Source organism: Homo sapiens, chromosome 2 (genome assembly GCF_000001405.40).
Source record: "Homo sapiens chromosome 2, GRCh38.p14 Primary Assembly".
NCBI classification, from domain to species: Eukaryota; Metazoa; Chordata; class Mammalia; order Primates; family Hominidae; genus Homo; species Homo sapiens.
This window is the reverse complement of record NC_000002.12, coordinates 150,964,697-150,983,551: the sequence shown is the minus strand read 5'-3', so window position 1 is coordinate 150,983,551 and position 18,855 is coordinate 150,964,697.

Genomic DNA, 18,855 nt, shown 5'->3' with positions numbered 1-18,855 from the left:
AGTATCATCAGAGAAATTTGAGGCTTGTGGTGCACTGCGGGTAACCATAGCAACAACAAACTGAAGCATAATTTCTGACCAGATTAATTCAACCTCCTGCACTAAAGGCTTAGGAAAAGTAAAGACATGTCCATTTCTACTCACAAAAAGCATATACCATAGCCCTATTCTCTTCAGTAAGCTGTCTCACTTAGACTCTCCAAAAAAAAAAAGTAGAGGTTTTTCTTGAAAGAAAAATGTAAACAAAAACAACCCATTGCCAAGAGACAAAGCAATCATCAGGACCATACTCAGATTTGACACAGATGCTGTAGTTCTCTAAAAGGGTATTTAAAATAACAATGATTAGTATGTCAAAGGCTCAATGGCAGAGATTGACAAACTTTTTTCTCTAAAGGGCCAGACAGTAAATATTTAGGCTTTGTGGGCCACATATGAACTGTTACATATTATTATTATTTTTTAAAGTGTTTTTAAACTTCTAAAAAATGTAAAAACCCTTCTAAGTGCATAAGTCTTACGAAAACAGGCCACTGGCTGGATGTTGCCCACAAGACCTGGATCTGCCCATCTATATCTAGAAATTATAGAAATGAAAAAAATATATAATAACAGAGATGAAGAATACCTTTGATAGACTCATCAGTAGATATGACAAGCTAAGGAAAGAATCAGTGAACTTGAAGTCAACTTGAAGATAGGTCAATAAAAATTACCTAAATTGAAACCCAAAGAGAAATAAAAAAGTAAAAAAAAGCGAGACAAAACAAATGAAAATAAAACCAAAACAAAACACCCTATTGCATCTCAGACATGTGGGATAACATGTCTTAGAGAGAGACAGAGAACAAGCCAGCAGAGATTTTCAAAGAAACAATGGCCAAGAATTTCTCAAATTTACAAATAGATGCAAGAAGCTCAGAGTAAACCAAGCAGTAAAAATACAATACAAAGAAAACCCCCAAACAACACCCCATCATACTCCATATCCTATACTAATGTTCAAACTAGTGAAAAATGGAAGCATCTTACTTACTGAAGTCTGTTGATGGCTTCTGGGGAAAAGCTGCAGTATCTGCTCACATTGGGTAGTGGGAAAGGAGCAAGGAGGTTTTGCATGGACCAGTGATTGGAGCAAGGAAGGCAGCAGCACATTTAAAGAAAATGTTTAACTGAACCGTCCTGAGATTTTTTTCAGAATAGCTTGCTTTGGTGTCTGTAGGTCACCTCATAAACAGAGAAACTACCTTTCTTATCTATCTAAATTCCAGAAAAAGATAACCAGGCTCTGGCCAAATGTGGTAACATGACAGAAATGGAGATGGAGATGACCAGGAGATCCAGGATAAACAGCCACCCATGACCTTGGTCCCATGCTCTGCATCATATCCATTTTGTTTAAGCTAAAAGAGAAAGAAAGGAAAAAGAATGCTTGAGCAGGGCTCCAGAGCTCAGAAGTAAATCTTCCACAGTCATAACCAAACCAGGTTTCTTTGTTTCCTGTTTAGAAAGCAGGCGCTGAGTCAGGAATCTGGGCTCCCCCAGACAGGAACATGCTTAATGAACATTTAGCGTACTTTCAACATAGACCAGACTCCAGAGCTGGTTTTTCTTTAGCCCTGGTGGAGGGCTAAGTCCATGCTGTTGTGGACAAGAATTGCTCTCAAATGGCTTTCAAAAAGGAACAGCTCAGACTCTGGGCTAAGCTAAGAGCCTGCTCTCTTTGACCCCATGCCAGGCTGTCTGACTGCTGCATAATAATGTCCCTAACAATATATGATCTCTAACCCAGCCATGACCTTCACATTGGCATCATTTTACTTGTTATTGTTCATCTGCCTTTTGCATTTCCCACAGCAGCTATTCTAATTCTTCAAAATTATTTAATTTTATTACTTCACTACATGTACTTCACTCTTAATGGATGATCATGCTTCCTACTTCACAGAAAACAGAGACTCACTGCTCAGATAATAACAACATGTCATATGTATTGCACCTCTTATACACAAGGTAGTGCTTTTGCTCTTCTCACAAATGATCTCATTAATATTAACATCACCTTAACATAGACTTATTATTCCCTCCTTTCAAGAAGATAAAAAGCCTTTGAGAGGGTTCAAACTTAGGTCTGAGACACCACTTAGCCTCTGCTTTTTAAAAATTACCTTTCTGCTTCTTCTAGGAAACAAAACATATCAAAACAAAAATTGATCCAAACCAAACCTTCTTTCTGATCTGCTGTAGATATCTTTTAATAGATATCTTTTTAACTTAAAGTTTAAAAATACTTTGGCAAGGTAAAACTAAATAGAAATTGCATTCAAGTGCAAACAGTTGATATAGACATGTTTCTGCAAGCAGATTTGAATGAAGGGGGGAAAGGGGAGGTAAGAGGGAAGATGGGGAGAGAATGGGAGAGGGAGACCATAGAGGAAGGCCCCGATGCATGAGAAGAGGAAGTTGGGGGAACCAAATACAAACATAGAGTGCTTCACAATTTAACTGAGCACTGGCCCTGTCTGTCTGTAACTGAAGATGTAGAACTATCTAGGAAAGAAGAAGAGAGAACCAAGGCGTTTCCCTTAAAAAAGGAACAATGACAAGAAAGAGAACAACTTGTGTTAAAGGTACCATATTAAAGGTCATCTTAGGTTTTCAGAACATGGCCTGCCATCTCGATCGGTATCTGTGCCAAAGTATTAGCTGATATTTTATTTGGCAACAAAACCAACCCAAATATTCATTTATGCAGGGGTGCCCTCAGTGCTTAGATGGTAGGTAGCTTGGCCAAATTGAAGGGCCACATTGGTTTCCAGAGGAAACATTCTCATTCTCTCTCTGTTTTTTTTTTTTTTTTTTTTTTTTTGCTTGATGAATTGTGGAGTCATTCATTCACCAGAGGGTAAAGTAAGAAAAACTAATTATATTTAAATGAACACTTGGCATTTGGTTCAGCAACCTAATGTGACCTGGAGTCATTTTAAAGACCTCACTTTTTCTCTGGAGAAGGAGCTGTCTTTCTGAGGACCAGACCCTGCAGAAGGAGCTATCTTTCTGTGGACCAGACCCAGGTCCAATTTCTCTTTTAGCTCTTACTTAGATTGAATTAAATCCTAATTAAAAGTAGACTGCTCAGCTGTGTGTCTCCTGGAATGGATCTCTTCCAGGACTGAAACATTCTCATTTAGTGAGATGTCTTCTTGTTATTGCATATAAAGTTACTAATACTTTCCTGGGAGTCTATATATAAAATTTATGTTAAGTGTGTATTCATCCGTAGACTAACTTGAATGGCTATTTTCTCATTAAGGCAAACTCTTAGCTGATACTTTACAGAAGTTTTATTCTCAAGGATTACTTCTGGACATTGGAAATCTTAATTTTTTTCATATTGAATTTTATGTAAACCAATTGGTTATTTCTAAGCTTATTTATGGATTGTTTTGCTGTTTATAGTCCTAATTAGGAAATGTGTTAAACCAATTGTCCACAAAGTGTGAATCAGTAATATAACTCTTTGTAGAGTGTGAATGTGAGCTAGGGAGATTTCATAGAGAGATGATTCTCCTGCTGTTCTCTTAGTAGGCATCCATTTTGCTTTGTGTGAAGATTTCTCCTGGTCTTTCTGAAGCACAGAACCAAAGTAAAGGGAACTAACTGGAGCTCAGAGTTAATCCTATGTCCAAGGAACAAATGTAAGCTAATTGTTCTACCAGGGGTTTGAACCCATGACCTAGGTCTCATTATAGTAAACTCAAACCAACTGAGCTAATAAAGGAGAAACCTGATGTCAGGTCTATAGCAATACATGGTGCTACATCATGCCAGCATCACTGCTTCCATTGTTACTGTTAACCAAAGCACTTTTGGGGAAAACCTCCTCAGAAGTTTCTGAGATATCTGACCAAGTCAAAGAATTGGTCAGAATTCAACAGCATAGATTTGATGTCATGTCAAAATCACAGAGAATGGTAATACTCTCTGGACTTAGTGAAATAGCTGCTGGTACTTTCAAAACAGAAGGAGAGATTTATTTTCTATCACATATGCCACAATGAAAAAATGTCACAACATACTGGAACTACTGCCCACATCAGTCACTTCCAGAGGGAAAGCGAGAATTGATTTTCTAATAATTTGTCAACCTGGGCATATCTGAAGTGTACTATTTATTCATTCTTTTAATCAGAAATATTTATTGAGCCTTTTCTCTGTGGCAGGAATTATCATAGGCAACAAGGATATAGAAATGACCAAGTTGGACAAGGTCTGGTTCCCATGCAGCCAATATAGTAGGGGAAGATAATAAATACATAAGCAAATAAGCAAGAATTTATTATTCAATGTGAACAGTACATAATTTCTCAAATTTCAAAAATATATTCCTTTATCTCTCTATTTTTGTACATAAAGTACATACATACATAATTCTATTAGAGGCACAAAGTGTTGAAAATTATAGGTAAGTTGCTGTAGATGTGGTCTGTTAAATAGGGTGAGATGAAAGCTTTCTATAATACCATAATTGAAATAATGTCAGCATTTTTGCAGTTTTTATTAATGAGTTTAGCTTTGAAACCACTCATACTTGCATCTGAACCCTGCTTCCTCTGTTTGTTAGCACTATGACTTAAGGCAAGTAGTTTTTTTTGTTTTTAACTTCTCTGAGCCTCAGTTTCCTGGTCTGGAAAATAATGCAGGTTTGCTGTATTAAATACTATAGTAGAATATAAGTAAAATGCATGGCACTTAGCAGGTACTCAAGAAACAGTTCCTCTATCCAAAGGAGAAAAACATCTTGCACACTCACAATTACCAGGTGTAACTTATTTTGACTGTTAGGTACAAAGACTTTAGAACTACACTAAATAATTTGAGCTATGTTACTTAGCAGAATGATTTTGTTAAAATACATAAAATTTCTTCAAGAATATTATTGGCTTTAGATACAAAGGCAGTTCCATCACAACCCTGCTTTGCAAGATAAAATGAACATTTGCTAAATCATATTTAACCTTTCACTAGTGATTTACAGCAGTCTTTATCTGTAGATATTTTTCTTCCAACTTTTCGAAGTTGGGGAATAGAGCAGACAATAGCTTAAGGAGAGCAGTGCATGTTTAACTGAGAACTTTTCATCTCTCTGCTCTGATCTAAGCATTCCTTTTTCAGGTAGAGGCCTGGTATTTGAAAAGCAAAGGCATCAAGTTTCTTGGCACTCTGTAGCTTGAAACATTTATCAAAATAAACCCCAGGAGCTGGGGCCTGCAGCAGCCTTTGGAGATTAGAAGAATGCCATACATGTGGTGAGGGGTGTGGGAGAGGGGCGATGATTGCGCCTGAGGAAACTGGCGTTCTGGAGGTTTCTGTGCTCCAGCCTGGCTGTCTCTCTATTAGTAACAAAAGACTTGCCTTCCTCAGCCCTAGGCATCTGGCTGTATCCCCAGATGCTGCTCTGAAGTCAGAGTAAAAAACAGAGGAAATATCTGGGTGCTTTAGATTCAATAATGCTTGGTATAGCAATAATGTTGATAATAGTAATCATATTAGTTATAATCACAAATATTTGTTATATAAATTATAAATGTAAATAATATGATTAATAATTGTATTAAATAAAATAGTTTCTATAATAATAAAAACATTAGCATTACAAAAATAATAACATTTTGGCGTACGTTGTGCTAAATCTCTATGGACTCCAGTAGGGGTGGCAATAGGTTCAATGAGGGAGCCAGTGAAGGAGACACAAGGTTTTACTAGGGGGATCTTACATACAGGGGAGAGAGTCTATGGGGGGGATCTTACAGACAGAGGAGAGAGTCCAGTGGCACTGGGCTGGGCAGAAGAATAGCAACCCCTTGTAAAAAGCATATAGTTTATATAGCATTTTCACTTAACACCCTCCCTCAAACAACCTCCACCTGGCAACCTTCATTTAACCCAAAACAAAGGGCCTGGATCCCCAGTATGGCCTACATTCCACGGTTAGGGCAGGGGCCTGGGGCTCAGATGTTCCTCATAGGTAAGGAATGGATCTCCTGGTTGGCCCCTCCCAGATTCCTTAGCTCAGGACTGGGAACACATTCAGGTGCGTCAGCCACGCAGGGTCATTCTCAGTGTGCTTAAGTCAAGTTATTGCTGTCAGGTGCGTCTACCATGCAGTATATTTACTAAGAACTTCACACACATCTCTTTGAAACTCTAACCAAAATATTTTTGATTCAAGTGCTATTATTTCTCCATTTCACAGAAGAGGAAACCGAGACAAAGTGAAGTTACTTCCCCCAAGTCACCTAACAGGTAAGTGAAGGAATTGGGATACAAACTCAGACAGTAAAACTCTGAAATCTCAGTTCTATGTTACATATGTTGACAAATCTATATTCAGCTTTATTTTCTATTATTGATCCAATGACTTGAAATATAAGCAACATGTTCAATTGTGATCAAGGATGGCAAAATAGCAACATTCGCCTCTGAGTCACTCTGTTTTCCCCAGAATCTATGCAGAAAATGTACATTTCCCCGTCCACCCTAGTTGGTGCTGCATTCAATTAGCAAATACAGTAAATCAATTGAGTAAAAAGTAGCACTTGTGATTTGGAGAGAGAATTGGTCTCTTGAAGTCAAAATAGCAATGTTTTATTTGCCTTTCTTGATATCTATTCATAGTTTAGTCCTTGTTGTTTTTCCTTTTTCAAGTAATTGACCCCATGACTGTTTCACTTTTAAGTACTCAAGGCCTAGATGACTTAGACATAGCTTCTCAACCTTTGGCTCTTTTCTTGACTAATCCCTGAGCTCAATTTTGAAGTATTTCAGGTTCATTTGCTGCCAGAATCTGTGGTGAGAGTTTGCACCTTCTGATTTTTGTTTACAAAAGTTACTTTCATCCAAAATGAAATGTCTCATCTTCCAGAAAAACTGAGATGGGGTCATCACTCACCTCAAAGGCCACACACAGGGCGGGAATTTTCTCCTGAGGTCACATGCAGTGGATGAATTGTTAAGGGCTAATTAATGTTGTAGGTCACTGAGTCAGCAGCCTTGTTCAAAGATGTCACCTGAAGCAACAAAGGCTTAGTTCTATTTTCGAGAAAGCAACATCGAGACTCTCTGGACCACAAGGATAAACAATTATTGCTTATCCTTTTTGGTTTAAAGTCATCTGGTAGTTTTAATGTATATTTCCACACTTTTTATAAATCAGGAACTCTGGGAATGTAAATACCAAATTGACTTATTGGCTTAATATTTTGGAGTGGTCAAATTGATTTAGACCATTCAACCTGCCTCATTCACCAGTACATGTGTAAATCTGTTATAATGTTATGTTCATCTGGGAAATGAGACTAAAGGGTAATGGAAAGAAGAATGAAAAAGAAGAATGAATGAAACTAGCTTGACGCCTACTTTCTTGCCTCAATTCTATAAATGAAATTTATTTATGCGTCTAAGAAATATTATGAGTACTTACTATCATAATAGTGTGATAGTACTGTGCTGAGAGATGCTAGTATGAATAAAACTGATACACTTCTGCCCAAATAGCTTAATATCTAGTGGTAAAGATACAACAATTACAATAAAGTGAAGTAAATGGCACAGTGGGGATAGGAGGCTTTCTTCTAACACTTGAAGGATTTAATTCAGTCAGATGATTCAGTTTATTATCTATGTTTTCAAATGGAAAAAGTAGGAGTGTAGGGAAAAGGAAATTTTTTTTTCCATCTCAGGTTCACGGCTGAGGTCCCCATCACAAAAGAGAATTCATAAGAGAAAATCATACAATTTATTTAATGTAAGTTTTCCATGACATGGAAGCCTTTGGAAATAAAGACCCAAATAAATAGGTAAACTTGTGTATTTTTATGTTTAAGTTTGATGAAGAATGGGCAGTCATGGGTAAATATGATTGGAGGATAAAATAGTCTGGTGCTAATGGTAACAAGTTGTGGGGGAACTTTGTAAGGACTGTTTGTTCAGATTCTTCTTGGTATCTCTGTGTCTCTGAGGATAAGGACATTTCTTTTCTTCCAGGTATAGGTTGAGCACCTCTGGAATGAAGGTTTTATGACCTACTTCAGAGGAAGGTCAGAGAATTTTTTTATGACCTGCCTCAAGGGAAAAGGGTGGGAGAAGGTCAGAGGAACGTTTTTGCTTCTGCTGTTTTATCAAATGCCAAGGTGCCATATTTTGGGGTAGTGTGTCATATACCCCCCAACAAAAACAATGAGTAGAAATATAAAATGCAGGCTCTAGCTCAGCTGGAGTGACTTAGTGATGAACACCCTGCACCCAAGTAGTGAGCTTCTTGTCACTAGCAGCAATTAAATAGAGGCCTGTTATTCAGGAAATTTCTACTTGGAAAAACCACTGGGTTTGCTGCTTGTGAAACTTCCAATCTGGAAATGCTACAGTTTTATGAGTTAAGTGTTTACTTTGAGTAGCTCCTGGTCTTCATGAGAAGATCAAGACCTGTCATTTGGACATCTTTACTGGAAGCCCTTCAGCAAGAATTAGGGGCAATAAAACAGATGTGAAGGCCTCTGACTTTTACACCTAGTATGCCATATATCACCTCAGTTTTGAGCATTAGAGTCTAATGGTGGTTTACTATAATTGAAATTCCCCTAGGGAAAGCAAACCAAAGCCTCTCCCATTACAGTAAAAAGAAGATAAAATGCTTTATTTTGAAATATTGTTTTCAAATGTGCCGTATTTTTCAAAGCTTTTTCTTGCATCATTTCTTTAATCCTTTTCCTATCTTATTTAACAAGTAGAATGTGAAATGTTTTTTTCCCAGTCACAAAATCTCAGCTCCTCTGAATAAAGATTTTTTAAAATGTGCTTATTACCATTTATCTACTAATATATGCATGTGCAGAATCCATGCACATATCTAAATATGCTTGTAACAGATATAGGAATAGTCTTTGATGATGCTACTTCAAGCAATTCATACAAGATCCTTACATTCAAATATTTTCTTACTGACAAAAGATCTTAGCTTTTAATCAGGGTTTTAGTTTCACAGAACTAGTATGATGTATCTAATATGTGTGCTGGGAACTGTCAAAGAACAAAGTTTCAACAAATTGAGTTTTAAAGATCTAATTGACTTCTATTAGGGATTCATGAACCAGGCAGCATCCAGTATACTAAATAGAAGCTCTGTCAGGAGTGACTGAACAGTCAGTTTTTGTTAAGACAGCTTGAGCAGGGGAAAGGAGATAGCGTAGTGCAGAAAGCAGATTGGTTAATGTTAGGTTATTTCAGGTTACTTTTCTTGTGGGGAGACTTTCTTACCATGCCAGTTTAGGTAGGCAGGGGCCTTTTTGATTGGTTGCTGTGAATCTCCTATTTGTTTTTTTTAGAAAACTGCTTGGGGATTTGACTATCATCTTGCTCCTGATTTCTCAGAAACTCAGATCTTACAAGTAAGAACAACTTAGATTTCAGTTTGGTGCTACCATTTTGGGTTGGTCTGTTGCGGACTTAGGAGCTAAGTCCAAATCAATGGCCTCTCATCAATTTTATTTGATACAACCAAAGTCATGAGAATAATGAAACTTTCTTGTATTCATTATTGTTATATATTTTGCTTCTCTCAATAAGAGATTTCTGTTTTTTTCTAATAACTCTTCTCTGTGTTCCTGCTTTTTTATTAATATATTTTAATTATTGATAATTGCAGAAGTAGCTAATCTCAATTGATATTAATTGAGCCACTTTTATATGGCAGGCATTGTCTTAGAATTATCTAAAGTTTAGAAAAACCAGTCTTCCATAGCAGAGTGGAATGCTTCTGAAAGTCAACCAATTCAAACGATCCATAAGGAAAGTTGCTATTTACTCTGGCCCTAACAGTTTTATCTTAGTCTTGATTACACAATAAAAGCATTTCCCCAAGAGAGAATTACATCATAAAAGGAAAACAAAATAAAACACATAACCTCTTAAGCCTCAGGTGATTTGAAAATGAAAAGTATAGCAAAATGTATTTTAAAACACTTCGGATATCTACATAAAGGATACTCTTTCTTGAGCACTGTTGGGAACTTCCCACTGAATGTAGCAACTATTATCTTCTTTTACATATATGATTTTTTTTGCATATGTCTTGCCTTGGAAAATTACACATATGCTGAAGTTAAAAGGAATATCTGCCCTCATTATACAAGTCAGGTTGGGAAGCTTGAGGGTAGTTGACTGTCAACTCCAAAAGTATAAATTCAAGTGCTTATGTGGATTTAGTTAGTACTGCACTAGTTAGCACTGCACTAGCTAAATCCACATAACTTTAATAACTTTTTATTAATAATTCACAGATAATTTCTGAATCATTTAGAGAAGAATCTTTTTGGAAGAAATATGTGGGTTGAATGGCAGTTGTATCCTTCCCGATGTTAATAGGACTCCCACAAAAACAGAACAGGCACAACTTGTTTTATTGCACTTTGCTTTATTGTGCTTTGCAGGTACTGCATTTTTTACAAATTAAAGGTTTCTGGCAATCCTGCATCAAGAAGTCTGTTGGCACCATTCTTCCAATAGCTTGGTGTTCAGTTTGTGTCTCTGTGGCACATTTTGGGAATTCCTGCAGTTTTTCAAACTTTTTCATTATGTCAGTTATGGTGACCTGAGGTCAGTGATCTCTGATGTTAGTATTGTCAGAGGTGTATGAACCAGAGCAATTCTATCTTGAATAGGAGCTGGGTAAAATGGGGCTGAGACTTACTGGGCTGCATTCCCAGACAGTTAAGGCATTCTAAATCACAGGATAAGATAGGAGGTCAGCACAAGATACAGGTCATAAAGACCTTGCTGATAAAACAGTTTGCAGTAAAGAAGCCTGCCAAATCCCACCAAAACCAAGATGGCAACGAGAGTGACCTCTGGTCGTCCTCACTGCTACACTGCCACCAGTGCCATAAAAGTTTGCAGATGCCATGGCAACATCAGGAAGTTACCCTTTATGGTCTAAAAAAGGGAGGCATGAACAATCCACCCCTTGTTTAGCACATCATGAAGAAATAACCATAAAAATGGGCCACCAGCAGCCCTTGGGGCTGCTCTGTCTATGGAGTAGCCATTCTTTTACTCCTCTACTTTCTTAATAAACTTGCTTTCACTTTATGGACTCGCCCTAAATTCTTTTTTGCACGATATCCAAGATCCTCTTGGGGTCTGGGTTGGGACCCCTTTCCTATAATAGTATTGTAACTGTTTTGGGGTATCACAAACTGAACCCATATAAGACAGCAAACTTAATTGATAAATGTTATGTGTCTTCTAACTACTGCACTGACTGGCTGTTCCCTCATCTCTCTTCCTCTCCCTGGGCCTCCCTCTTCCCTGAGACACAGAGATATTGACTTTAGGCCAATTAATAACCCTATAATGGCCTCGAAGTGTTCAAGTGAAAAAATGAGTCACCCATCTCTCACTTTAAAGCAAGAAATAATTAAGCTTAGTGAGAAAGGTGTGTTGAAAGCCGAGATAGGCTAAAGGTTAGGTCTCTTGTGCCAAAAAGTTAGCCAAGTTGTGATTGCAAAGGAAAAGTTCTTGAAGGAAATTAAAACTGCTACTCCAGTTTTAATGACTAATAAGCACGTGAATGATAAGAAAGCAAAAGAAGCCTTATTGCTGATATGGAGAAAACTTTAGTGGTCTGGATAGAAGATCAAACCAGCCCCAATGTTCCCTTAGGCCAAGGCCTAATCCAGAGTAAGTTCCTAACTTTCTTCATTTCTACAAAAGTGGAAAGAGATGAGGAAGTTGCAGAAGAGAAATTTGAAGCTAGTGGAGGTTGGCTTATAGGTTGAAGAAAAGAAGCCATCTCTATAACATAAAAGTGCAAGGTTAGGCAGCAAGTGTTGATGGAGAAGCTCCAGCAAGTTATCCAGGAGATCTAGCTAAGATCATTGCTGATGGTGACTACACTAAACAACAGTGTATCAGTGTAGACAAAACAGCCTTACAGTGGATGAAGATGCCATTTAGAACTTTTATACCTAGAGAGGAGAACTCAGTGCCTGGCTTCAAAGCTTCACAGGACAGGCTGACTCTCTTGTTAGGAACTAATGCAGCTGGTGACTTCAAGTTGAAGCCATTGTTCGCTTTCCATTCTGCCTGTGCGCTCTAAATGGAATAACAAAGACTACATGATAGCACATTTGTTTACAACGTGGTTTACTAAATATTTCAAGCCCACTGTTGAGACCTGCTGCTCACAAAAGAAGATTCCTTTCAAAATATTACTGCTTATTGCCAATGCAGCTGGTTACCCAAGAGATCCAGTGGAAATGTGCAACAAGATGAATGTTGTTTTCATGCCTGCTAACACAACATCTATTATGCAGCCCATAGATCAAGGAAGAATTTCGACTTTCAAATTTTCATATTTAAGAAATATATTTTGTAAAGCAATAGCTGCTGTAGATAGTGATTCCTCTGCTGGATCTGAGCAAAATTAATTGAATATCTTCTGGAAAGGATTCATCAGCACTTCATTCACAGGAGGTGGCCAAAATATCAACATTAACAGGAGTTTGGAAGAAGTTAATTCCAAGCTTCATGGACGACTTTGAGGGGTTTCAGTGGAGAAAGTAACTGTAGATGTGGTGGAAAAAGCAAGATAACTGGAATTAGAAGTGGAGCCCGAAGATGTGACTGGATTGCTGCAACGTCATGATGAAACTTTAACAGATGAGGAGTTACTTCTAACGAATGAGCAAACAAAGTGGTTTCTTAAGATGGAATATATGCCTGGTGAAGATGTGGTGAACATTGTTGAAATGACAACAAAAAATTTAGAATATTATAGACAGTTGATAAAGCAGTGGCAGGGCTTTGAGGATCAGCTCCAGTTTTGAAAGAAGTTTTCCTGTGGGTAAAATGCTATCAAACAGCATTACATGTTACAGAGAAATCTTTCATGAAAGGAAGAGTCAATCAATGTGGCAAACTTTATTATTGTCTAATTTTAAGTAATTGCCACAGCCACCTTAATTTTCAGCAACCGTCACCCTGATCGATCAGCAACCATCAACATCAAGGCAGGACCCTCCACCAGCAAAAAAAAATTACGACTTGTGAGGCTCAGATAGTTGTTAGTATTTTTAGCAATAAAGCATTTTTAAGTTAAGGCATGCACATTGTTTTTTAATACATAGTGGTATTGTACACTTAATAGACTATGGTATAGTTTAAGTATAACTTTTATACACACTGTGAAACCAAAAATTTGTGTGACTTGATTTATAGTGATACTCACTTTATTGTGATGGTTTGAAAGTGAACCTGCAGTGTATCTGAGGTATGCCTGTATTACATTCTGCTACACTCCAAGAGGTCAGAAATACTGCTTAGTGTGTGTGCACACACACTTGAAACAATGAATTTGCTCTGAAAGGGAATTTGCATGGAGTTGCCCTGACTACATCAAAACCTTTTGAATTGGTTGGGTGTGGTGGCTCATACCTGTAATCCCAGCACTTTGGGAGGCTGAGGTGAAAGGATCGCTTGAGCCCAGGAGTTTGAGACCAGCCTGGGCAACATGGCAAGACCCCATCTCTACAAAAAATAAAAAAAATTAGAAGGCCTGGTGACCCACACCTCCAGTCCCAGCTACTCAGAAGGCTGAGATGGGAGGATCACTTGAGCCCAGCAGGTCAAGGCTGGCTGCAGTGAGCTGTGATCATGCCACTGCATCCTGGCCTGAGTGACAAAGTGAGACCTTGTCTCAAAAAAAAAAAAAAAAGGAAAAACCTTTCCAATCAACAAATATTTATAGAGTATTGTTTCAGGTTTTATGAAGAAAACATAGTTTCTGTCCTCAAGAAGCCTATAATATATTTGGGTAGAGAGAAATTCAAATTAAAAATTATGCATTGCCAATGAGTGCTGTCAGACTTGGGAGAAAGCCCCCAGCTCTTATGAAGTGTGTTATTTATTATCGTTATTCTACAGCCACCATTTTGTTTCCTAATTAGTCCCCAGATTCCCTAAAAACAGGAATTAAAGTCTTTGTATCCCCTACGACTTTTAGTATACATTTGTTGATTGACATTTAAGGTTTTGGAGAAACTACTTTCTCCTCTTTGTGAATTGTTTTCTCCTATTGCCCAGTGTCTCAGAAGTTCGTTAAGAAAATACTTGGTTTTTCTCATACTGTAGCACAGTCCGTAAATAGGTGACATAACAATTATCTTATAAGTTAATGTGGCATTAACTAATTAGAGGTGTTTAGAAAGAAAGATCATTTCAGTTTGTCATTAATTCATCCCCTGTCTTAAAGCAGAAGTGTGACTACATGTTTTCATTTTGTCACCTACTCTGAAGGCTGGTGATATTTTGGTCATGTCTTCAATAAGGAACTGAAGATGAGGGTGGTCCCAGACGTTGCTGTTCACTGTTGGTATATGTGAAATGCAGGGGAAAAATAATGTTTTCCTTACCCATTGCAAGGCTCATGGCTGACACCCCTATAACAAAAGACAGATTAACAAGAGAAAAACATGACAAACTTATTTAACCAAAATTTTACATGAGATAGGAGCCTTCAGAAATGTAGTCCCAAAGACATGGGGAAAACTGTGTTTTTATGCAGATTTGATGAAGAGTGGACAGTCATGTAGAAGTATGATTGGACAAAAGGGGGTGTGCTCTAATAGTAATAAACTGGGAGAACTTAGCAAGGCCGAGTTATTCAGATTCTTTTTGGCATTTTGGTGTCTTCATTCCTTTCCTCTGGGTGTAGGGCAGAGCACTTGACACATGAGGGTCTCTAAGAGAGAAGATCAGAGTGACCTTTCTGCCTCTGTTGTTTTCTCAATTTCCAAGCTGCCATATTTCGGGATAGATGTCCTGAACCCCAACAGAAGGACGATATCTCTCTGTTGGGGCTGATTCACACATAATCTGAGCCATTTAAGGCTAGATCTGCATAAGTGAACCACTCTGGCAAAGCAATTCGCATCAGTAGACTTTAGTGTTACAAAGTGCGAACAATAAGCCCTGCCAGGATATCGAAGATGTAAAGAGAAAAGAGAGGCTCCAAGGAGATAGGTTTAGCAATAAGATGAAAATGGCCTAGAACCAGGGACCATTCGTCTTTGTAAACAACAATCAGATTTCCCCCCAATTCTTTCCACCCCTCATTTTTATCACTTTTCATGGCTATTCAGAAATTAATGCCAATAAACTTTCCAGTTACCAATATGCACTGTTAATGTTTTTCTGTCATAGGATTTAGAAAACTAGAAACTCAGAGAAATTTTTAAAATTAAAAAATATTTTTATTATAGATTAGGCAAATTTGTCTCCATGCCACTCTTAGATACATAGTGACAGAATAACATTTCAATTGATAGGTATTTATCCCTTTTAAAATTCAATATAAGCTACTGTTTTGTAGGAGTCTTCCAGAAAAAAATCAGGAAATAGATTGTCCAGAGGATTCCTCTTGACTTTGTTATGAATTTCTGACTGTATATGGTTAGCATTAATAGGACATGGGTTGGGGCCCATGTGGAAGAAATTTATGCTATAAACATCTTTTGAAATATTGTGGCTGCTGAAGTTGCAGGTAATGAATCAATCACAGGTATATATGTTATTATTGCTCAGGTGGTAGATTCATATTTCTGATTTATGAGGTAATATTTATCTTTCCTCTATATAGGAGAAAATGGTAGCTGTTTGAACAGAAAAACAAATAAGCAAACTTATTATGCCATATAGTATCTCCTGTTTTAGTGTCAATTGGGCAGAATTGAGAAATCCAGTTTGGATAAAATTATGCCCCAATAAATAGCCCCATAAATATCACTATTAAAAAAATCTGCTGTCTGGAGGCAACACCAATGGACCATGAAGATGACTCCCATTCAGTGAACAATTACAGGGCTCAGGAGAGTGAGACAAAGTCTTTCATCCTGCCCCTAACTGGGCACAAACTCCTAACCTCAGCAAAAGAACAGCCTGTTCCAGATGTGAAATGATAGAGTGAGTGGTGATGCCTCATGAGCATCTATTGCAGAGCTCTATTAAGGGGTTCTGACTCTAGCTATGATGGAGTAGCTCTTATCAGCCTAGTGTGTTTCTGCTATATTAACTATAAAGGCTGGATAAAATGCAAAGCAAAACAAACTAAAACAACCATCTTAAGTCATTGGAGAGTAATCTAGAAAGCCAGGATTTGAAGGGCTGGGATCTTGTAGTGAATAAAAGAATATTAAGGTGAGTCCTACATTTGCTACTGCTTTTACTCCTGAGAACATGGGACACAGGCTGGAAGGAAAGCAGCATCCTAGAGCTCTGGCAGCTTCACTGGGAAAGGGGTATAAAAATTGGAATTTAGAGCTACTAAGACGAATAGGACTTGAAATCACCCTGTGCTGAGAAAAGAAAGCTGTAGAGAATTAAACCCAGCATTTTGTATGCAGTTTCCCTTGTGCCATTTGATGACTTCTAAGCTGTGGGTGCACAGAAGGAGACACAGAGAAAGCCAGCAGATTACAGTTGCTAAGAGGCTAAGAAACTGAGCTGCAGGTATTTTGGCAATCTATTAGTACTGAGGAAAAACTAGAATTCAGACTTGCCAAGGAGGGGCCTTCATAAACACTCCAGATTCATTTGAAACTCCTTAAAATGTTATGCCCAAGGAGAAAAGACAAAGGATAAAAAAATGAGGGAACTCATTTTATGAGGACAGCGTAATCTTGAAATTAAAACCTAGCAAGGATATTACAAAAAGCAAAACCTAAAAGCCAATTTCTTATATAAACATAGACCCAAAAATCTTAAATAAAATATTCACACATCAAATACATCATGACCAAATTGAATCTATTCTAGGAATGTGTGATTGATTTAATATTAAAATTTTAATCTTCATAAGATACCACAGTAAAAATAATATAAGAAAACAATGTGATTATCTCAGTAGATGCAGAGAAAGCATTTGAAAAAATTCAACACTCATTCATGCTAAAATCTCTTAGGAACTAGAAATTTTAAAAAATCAAACTATTAATGACCATCTTTAAAAAACTTACAGCTACTTACTTAATGGGGGAAATAGTGAATGGCTTCTCCCCTAAAGTCTGAAATAACACAACAGTGTTCAGTACCACCACTCCCACTTAATGCTGTACAGGAACACATGGTTAGTGCAATAGAATAAACAAAAAAACCAAAGTCATAAAAATTATGAATTTTAAAAAAGTAATTATTTGGAGATAATGTGGATTTTGTACATAGAAAATCAAAAAGAATCTACAAACAACCAGGTTTGACAAGTGAATGAGTAAAGTCACTGAAATTAAAAAAAAATAAAAAGTGGACAATTATTGGTAAGGGTATAAACAACACTTTCCTACACTGCTAGGGGCAGGGAGGATGTAAATTAGTACAACTACTTTAAAAAAACTATTTGAAAACCTACCAAAGCTAAACATAAACATACCTTATGATACAGAAATTCTAATATTAGATATATACACAACAGAAATTTATATATTCATCAGAATACATAAAAATGTTTATATTAGCATTATTTGTAAGATTCTCAAACTGGAAATACCCAAATGTCCATCAGAAGTAGAAAATACAAATGAATTGTGATAAATTTAATAATGGGATATTATACAGCACTAAAAAATATCAAACCATGGCTACAAGTAAAAATATGGATAAATCTTATAGATAAGATATTGGTCAAAAAAGCCAGACAGAGGCTGGGAAGGGTAGAAGGAGGCAAAGAGAAGTTGATAAATGGGTATAAAACTACAGTTAGATAGATAGAATAAATTCTATTATTCGATAGGAGAGTCAGGAGATTATAGTTTACTTGTTACATATTTTAAAATAGCTAGAAAGGAAATATTAGAATGTTCTCAAGACAAAGAAAATATAAATGTATGAAGTGGTGGATATTCCAATTATTCTGAGTTTATCATTACACATTATGTAGGTGTATCAAAAATCACATGTACCTCCAAAATTTGTACAACTATTATATATCAATTGAAAAAAGGTTTCAAAAAACTAGACACAAGAGTATGTGATAATGTATGATTCCATTCATATAAACTTCAACAACAACCAAAGCTAAAACTATGGTGATAGAAGTCAGAATATTGGTTACCTTTGGAGGAATAATGATTGAGGATGATTGAGAGAGGATAGGAGGCTTCTGGGATTCTAATATTCTAATAATGCTCTCTATCTTGATGTAGATGGTGGTGACCTGGGTGCATTCAAATTTATAAAAATTTGTTGAGCTGTGTTCTTTATTGTATATACAGTGCTCTTTAGTGTATCTATGTTTCAATACTAACATTTACCAAAAGATATCTTTCTGTGTACTTTCAGTTGTAAATTCAAACCATTTCAAGACATTAAGCTTTTGAGTCCATTTTGAAAGAACATTTCCTAGTGCTAAGTTTTCAGTCAGCTGCAAGATTATACCTATTGTAGGTATACGAGTTGTAAGATTATACCAGTTGTAAGATTATAGTTATTACTTGGAAAACAGACCGCAATTCTTGGTGTCAACTTAATTACTGCCCTTCAATTTAAAATGATCAAACTAGTTATTTTATTTCTAGTTATAATGGTGAGTTATCAGTGATATATTCTACTGGCACCTTTAAATATAACACAAAACTTACCATTAGTTTGGTCTTAGCAAAATTGTGGTGGTTCTGAACTGGTCTTGGTAGCTTAAGGAAGGCTCCAATTTCATAAGGAAGTGGTTTGGGCTTAGCTTCAACATGCTGAATGGGCTTATCTTGGGTTTGGGGCATCAGAGGTAGTTTGAGTTTGCCTCTGTGTGTGTGT